We start from the raw sequence: 7829 nt of genomic DNA on the forward strand, positions 1-7829 counted from the left end.
CCCCCAAAGCTATACCATCAAACTCTCCCTCTGAAGTCAAGACACTTCTCTCTGACGTCCAGCCATAGTCTCTGACATCCAGCTGCTTCTCCTCTCTCTGCCAGCTGAGCCTGGAGTTTCCATGGGCACAGGATGGGGGGTGGGGCAGGCCATGGGTGATTTGGGAAAAGGCAACATTCATGCAGGAAAACAGAGATGTATGTTCTCACTTTAGGCCGTGGTACCAGGCTTTTCGGCTTGAGGGTGGGGCCCTCGCCAAGGACCCACCCTCTTCTGCCCAGAATTTCCCTGCCTCCTGTCCCTATCACAATGTCTCCAAAGTACAAATTCTATTGCTTTAAACATTTTAAGTGCATTTTAATTAAGTTTATGGCAGAAAAACCTGGCAAACACTACCTTACCCAAGTGAGGAAGGCTCATATCACCAGGGAGGATATATAGACCTCAGGTACAACTGATACAATGTGATGAGAAGGCACCTTATCTCTGGGGTATGCCCTCCAAAACCCATAACCTCAGAGGCATCATGAGAAAAACATCAGGCAGATTGAGGGACATTCTACAGGACACCCGGCCAGTATTTCTGAAGACTGTCAAAGTCATAAAAAACAAGAAAAAAACTGAGCAAAACTGTCACAGACCACAGGAGATTGGGGAGAGCTAACAACTAAATGAAATGTAGTGTCTTGGATTGGATCCTGGAATAGAAAGAGGGGATAATGGAAAAACAGGCCAAATCCAAATAAAATCTGGAGTTTAGTTAATACTTGCTTTTAAAGCACCTACAAATGCTCCTTGACTTGCCATGGTATTATGTCCTGATAAATCCAACATAGAGTGGAAATTTTTAAGTCAAATCATCATAAGTTGGAAACCATCTGTATTTTATTTTATTAAGTTTATTCTTTAAATCAAGAATAGGTTTTGAGCCAGGCTTGGTGGTTCATGCCTGTAATCCTAGTGCTTTGGGAGGCCGAGGTGGCAGGATCCCTTGAGCCCAGGAGTTCAACACCAGCCCGGACAACATGGAGAGCCCCTCATCTATTAAAAAAAAATGGCTTTGAATTTTGTCAAAGGCTTATGAAGATAGTTATATGACTTTTTTTATTCTGAGATACATTCATATGTGAATTATGTATATTTTGTTCATGTCAGATGAGCAACGTGCTGATGTTGTGACAAGGTTTGAGGGAGGCACATCTCATGCATGCACTTGGACACTGAATCATCATGCTTATGAGCTACAAAAGTATCTAGTATGGGAATGATATTGATGGTTTTCCGGTGTTGAATAATGCTTGAATTTTTGGAATAAATCCCACTTTATCATGAGAAAAAGTGAATCTGATAAAACCTAAAGTCCTTAAAGGCCTTCAAGGCTTTACTCTATCTCCCTGCCCTCACCCTCTCCCCCCATCCCACCTCATTACCCCTCTGGATTTGTTTGCTAGGGCTGCCATAACACAGTACCACAAACTGTGCAGCTTGAACAAACGGAAATTTCTTATCTCATAGTTTTGGAGACCAGAAGTTCGAGACCAAAATGTAGCAGGGTTAGTTCCTTCCAAAGGCTATAAGGGAGAATCTAGTCTGTTCTGTGCCTCTTCCCAGCTTTGGTGCTTGCTGGCAATCTTTGGTGTTCCTTGACCAGTAGAGGCATCACCCCAATCTCTGCCTTCCACTTCACGGTGCATTCTTCCTCTGTGCATTTCTCTGTGTCCCTTTTTATATGGACAGCAGTCATATTGGATTAGTGTCCCCCCTCTAATGACATTATCTTAACTAATAACATCTGCAATGACCCCAATTCCAGATAAGGCCACCTTCTGATGTACTGGAGTTTAGAACTTCAAAATATGAATTTGCGGGGAGAGGACACTATTCAACCCATAACACCCTCTAACCACTTCCACTTCACCCCTTGTAGCTCAGCTCCAGACATACTGGCCTTGTACAGCTCTTGCCTTAGGGCATTGACTCTGGCCATTCACCCCCTCAGAAAGCTCTTCCTTAGCTGCTCCTGCAGGTAATTCCCTCACCTCTTCTAAGTGTTTTCTCCAACCCACCTTCTTGCTGAGGCCCACACTGTCCCCCATCTGCATCTGCACCTCCCCAAGACTTCCTGATATCCCTTGCCCTCATCAATTTAACACATGCTTCTTTCCTTGCTGCAGTCATCCCTTCCTAACATCCTATACCATTTGCTTGTTTATTATAGAGGCTATTGTTTATTGTCTGCCTCCTCTGGTGCATATAAGCTTCACGAAGGCAGGGATCCGTATCCATTTTGACCACTGTATCCCATGTGCCTAGGAGACATTACACATCTCCTTGGCAAGTAGAGGGTACAATAAACAGTTGTTGAAAGCAAAGCAAAAGAAGAAAAGAAGGATTCTATTTCTAGAAATTGAGGACCCACCAGTGACTTGCCCTATGTTTCTCTTGCCTCCAGTCTCTGGGAAATAACACTGGAGGGAAAGTTAAGCCCACCACGGCTGTAAGAAATGACTTAGCAGAGCAGGAGACCACTAACTGTTCTGATAACACCTGAGATCACGCAAGGTTGCTTGGTGGGGGGAGGCGGGGGCAGGTGCAGAATCTACTCTTGGAGGCCAGGGCCTGGAGTTGCAAGACCAGTCCAGGAGAGGGCAGCATTATCTTCAAATCAAACCAAATAACTGGAGGAGCACAAGGAAGTAACCCACGTGAAAATTCCTCTACCCTATGGAAGTACAACTGTAAATTGGGTTCGGCAGCCCACGTCTAGAACTTAACACCACCCTTTAAAGTTTGCAAACCCTTTCACATACATTCATTCTCCCCTTAAAGTGCTCCTAGATGAGAGTTTAGCCATTGCCGGAGTGTGAGCGGAGTTTGCACTGAGCAATTAAACGATATCACCCATGTGGTCCCATGTTCCTCAACTTGTCACAGGTTCCAAGCACTTAACAGTCCTGTCCCCATGGTCAACCCCCATTTCCAGCCCACAGACCCTTCTTCCAGAAGGTTCTCAGCCTCTCTGAGTGAACCCACACTTTCAAATACAGCACATTTGGACTTACTGGCCAAGGGATTAAAAGGTATACAGAAAGCAAGTTTCTGAGAACTGAAGATCGTTTCACAGTTTTTTGGTCCTCCAGCTTGGGCTGCCATAACAAAATACTGGTGATCTCAACAACAGAAATGTGCTTCTCACAGTCCTGGAGACTAGAAGCCCCAGATCAGGGTGCCAGCATGGTTGGGTTATGATGAGGGCACCCTCCTGGCTTGCAGATGGCTGCCTTCTCAATGTGTCCTCATGTGGTGGAGAGAAAGAAAGAGAGGTCTGGTCTCTTCCTGTTCTTATGAGGACACTAATTCCACATGGGGGCCCTACCCTCATAATCTATCACCTCTCCAAAGGCCCCACCTCCAAATACCATCACAACAGGGGTTAGGACTTCAACATATAAACTTGGTGAAGACACAAACATTTTGAGTCCATAGCAAGCACCATGTCACAGTTTAACAGGAATGATTTCCTTCCCTGATAACACTCCCTTACATATTCATGAGTCAAGGCTCTAGCAAGTTCTAACAAACTTTTATCTGTCTTTGATGCAGGCTTGCTTATTTTCTCTTACACGTGGCCAGCCGTACCAAGCTCTACCCGATATGGCCCAACCTGCATAGTCAACATTCTGTCTGATGGACTTGGCTGCCAAAGCGGTATCCATGGTTGCAGTAAAAATAAACCTCACAAATGGTGACCAGGGGGCTGGAGGGTGGAGGGGTTCTAGATGGAAACTGGGCAGATGGGAGACAGGTGGGAAGAAGACTCCTTGTGAATAGCTTTTAATTTTTTTTTTTTTGAAACATGTGACATAGTTCCCATTACATATTTTCAATGTTTAAAAAATAATTTTAAAATGTTAAACAGTCATAATTCAACCATGGTGGCAGGAGGTCTGTGGTGCAGCTGAGAAACTGCTCTAAGCTCTGGCATGTGCAGTTGTATGTCTTCTGGCTGCTCTGTCTCAATTTCCACCCACAGAGCCAAGGAAGCCTCCAGCCAATTCCAGGGAGCATCTTTCTGGGCCCTGGGTTTAGAGACCTGTGATTCTCTTTATTCCCTCTGCTCCAGATTCTCCAAATCAGCTCACTTTGGGCTCTCTTGGCCCTGTGTCTTTCCTGTCACTGGTTTGTCAACTGCCTCCACTCAGTGCCTCCCCTTAGCCCTTCCTGTCCTTACGGTTTCTAAATGCAATTCTAATAGCTTCACAAATGTGCTCCTCCACTTTCCTAGGCACCAAGGAAACCTTGACCCACAGGCTTTAATTTTACCCTTGCAGTGAATTCTTATTGACTTTCACTGACCACTGGAACCCACCTACTTGCCCTGAGAACACTCCCATTATCTTTCAATTAAAATAAGACCCTTGATTTATACTTTAATATACATATATCCAGGCTGGGCACAGTGGCTCACCCCTGTAATTCCAGCACTTTAGGAGGTCGAGGCAGGAGGATCGTTTAAGCCCAGGCATTCAAGACCAGCCTGGGCAACACAGTGGAACCTCATACCTCTACAAAGCAATTTTCAAAATTAGCCAGGTGTGGTGGAACACACCTGTGGTCCCAGCTACTCAGGAGGCTGAGGTGGGAGGATTGCTCAAGCCCAGGAGGTCAAGGATGCAATGAGCCATGATCACACCACTGCACTCCAGCCTGGGCAACAGACCAAAACCTTGTCTCAAAAAATAATTTTATATACATATATATACACACATGTATCCAGACTCCTGCTGAAACTACCTCTCCCTGTTCCAATGCCACACATCTAGTTCAGCCTGCAGATGAGTTTCTTTGACTGCCTGGGATTGGTTTCCTTGTTTGTTTAAATTAGAATTGGTTTCTGACTTTTAAACCTTGAGGCTTTTTCACATTTAAAAACATCTGGATTTATACACTCTCCTTTAAAATTTTGAAGATCTGGGCTGGGCGCCATGGCTCATGCCTGTAATCCCAGCTCTTTGGGAGGCCAAGGCGGGTGGATCACCTGAGGTCAGGAGTTCAAGAAGAGCCTGGCCAACATGGTGAAACCCTGTCTCCACTAAAAATATGAAAATTTGCTGGACATGGTGGCATGCACCTGTAATCCCAGCTACTCAGGAGGCTGAGGCGGGAGAATCACTTGAACCCGGGAGGTAGAGGTTGCAGTGAGCCGAGATCATACCATTGCACTCCAGCCTGGGAGACAAAAGCAAAACTCCATCTTAAAAAAAAAAAAAAAAAAAAAAAAAATTGAAGATTTGACAACACTGAGCTCATGGCAAAACTCAGCTAAACCTAGAATGTAAAAGAAATCCTAGAAATAGAGCCACACTTACACCATCACTTGATTTTCAACAGAAGTTCCAAAGCAATCCAGTGAGGGAAAGGAAGGTTTTATCAACAATGTGGGCCAGACACAGTGGCTCACGCCTGTAATCCACGCACTTTGGGAGGCCAAGGCAGGTGGATCACTTGAGGCCAGGAGTTTGAGACCAGCCTGGGCAGCCTGGCGAAACCCCATCTCTACAAAAAATGCAAAAATTAGCCAGGCGTGCTGATATGCACCTATAGTCCCAACTACTCAAGAGGCTGAGGTGGGAGAATTGTTTGAGCCTCGTAGGCAGAGGTTGCAGTGAGCTGAGACCCAGCCTGGGTGAAAGTGAGATTCTATCTGAAAAGAAAAAAAAGAAAGAAAAAGAAAAGAAATCTCATTACACAATCAAACATCACATCACCAGAATGACTAAAAATACAAAAGCATGATAATATCGACTATTAGTGGGTTGTAGTATAGCTGGAATCCTCACATATAATTAGTGGGAATGTAAAATGGTGCAAACACTTTGGTAAAAGGTCTGGCAGTTTCTTCTACTTTCTGACCCAGCAATCCCACTCCTAGGAATATGCCCAAGAGAAATGAAAATAATATGTTCACAAAAATATCAATAGCTTTATTGATAATTGCCAAAAACTAGAAACAGTCCAGGTGTCCATCAATAGGAGAATGGCTAAACATACAGTGGAATAGTCATACAATGGAGTCATTCTCATCAATAAAAAGGACTGAATTACTGATATACTCCACAACATGATGTATCTTAAAAACATTACACTGAGTAAAAGAAGCCTTCCACTTCTATGAAGTTCTAGAACAGGTGAAACTAATCTGAAAATAATCAGAGCAGAAGTTACCTCTGGGAGGATGGAGGCAGAGACAAACCAGCCATGGGGGGACATGAGAGGATTTTTAGGAATGATGGTAATGTTTTCTATATTGATGGGCATTGGGATTACACAGGGGCACCTATTAGTTGAAACTTAGTGAATATACACTTAAGATTTGTGCACTTCATTGTCTACAAATTTTACATCAAAAGAAAACACTAAAGGCCAGGTGCAGTGGCTCACGCCTGTAATCCTAGCACTTTAGGAGGCCAAGGTAGGAGGATCACTTGAGGTCAGGAGTTTGAGACCAGCCTGGCCAACATGGTGAAGCCCCGTCTCTACTAAAAATACAAAAATTAGCAGGGCATGGTGGCGCATGCCTGTAATCCCAGCTACTTGGGAGGCTGAGGCAGGAGAATCACTTGAATTTGGGAGGCGGAGGTTGCAGTGAGCCAAGATCGCACCACTGCACTCCAGTGTGGGCAACAGAGACTCCGTCTCAAAAAAAAAAAAAAAACTATAAACAAATATTGATCTCTAATCAATGATGTACACACTGATGTATTTAGGGAGAAGTATACTGGTGTCCACAGTTACTTTGAAACACATCCAAAAGAATAGATTAATGGCTATAGGGATGGATAATGGATAAATATGAGATAAAGCAGGTAAAATGTTAATGGCAGAATCTAGGTAGTAGATGTACAAGTAGACAGTGAAATTCTGTCAACTTTTCTTTTCTCTTTTTTTTTTTTTTTTTTTTTTGAGATGGAGTTTCACTCTTGTTGCCCAGGCTGGAGTGCGATGGCGTGATCTCAGCTCGCTGCAACCTCTGCCTCCTGGGTTCAAGCAATTCTCCTGCCTCAGCCTCCCGAGTAGTTGGGATTACAGGCATGAGCCACCACACCTGGCTAATTTTTTGTATTTTTAATAGACAGCGTTTCTCCATGTTGGTCAGGCTGGTCTCAAACTCCTGACCTCGGGTGATCCACCCACCTCGGCCTCCCAAAGTATTGGGATTACAGGCGTGAGCCACTGCGCCAGGCCCAACTTTTCTTTATGTTTAAAATTGTTCACAATAACATGTTGGGGCTATCAGCTGGCATTGTCTTGGCCAACTTCTTTAACCTGTAACTGGTTGCCACACTTTCTACCCCTCCTTGCCTCATGGCCAGAGTGCTTCACTCATTTACATTACCTAGAGTGTTTCATCCTAGACACATACTGCATATCCTAATGATTGTTAACTAAATCTCTGGAAGAAGCAGAATAGCATTGTAACAATTCTACTATTTACCAGTTTTGTAATCTCGGGAATTTTTTTTTTTTTTTTTTTTTTTTTTTTTTGAGAAGGCGTCTCACTCTGTCGCCCAGGCTGGAGTGCAGTGGCCTGATCTCGGCTCACTACAAGCTCTGCCTCCTGGGTTCAAGTGATTCTTCTACCTCAGCCTCCCAAGTAGCTGGGATTACAGGTGCATACTATCACGCCTGGCTAATTTTTGTATTTTTAGTAGAGATGGGGTTTCACCATGTTGGCCAGGCTGGTCTTGAACTCCTGACCTCAGCTGATCCACCTGCCTCAGCCTCCCAAAGTTCTGGGATTATAGGCATGAGCCACCACACCTGGCCGT

The 7829-nt window shown here is 44.4% G+C and overlaps 1 non-coding gene across 1 annotated transcript; it reads right to left on the reverse strand.

Annotated features, from left to right (window-relative positions):
- Nucleotides 1-1149: 1149 nt before the first annotated feature.
- Nucleotides 1150-1253, reverse strand: LOC124906159 (small nucleolar RNA U13). The gene has a single exon (XR_007088747.1). It is a non-coding gene; the product is annotated as a small nucleolar RNA U13 (small nucleolar RNA).
- Between the last annotated feature and the right edge of the window lie 6576 nt (nucleotides 1254-7829).

The sequence above is a fragment of the Homo sapiens genome, chromosome 2 (assembly GCF_000001405.40).
Source record: "Homo sapiens chromosome 2, GRCh38.p14 Primary Assembly".
NCBI classification, from domain to species: Eukaryota; Metazoa; Chordata; class Mammalia; order Primates; family Hominidae; genus Homo; species Homo sapiens.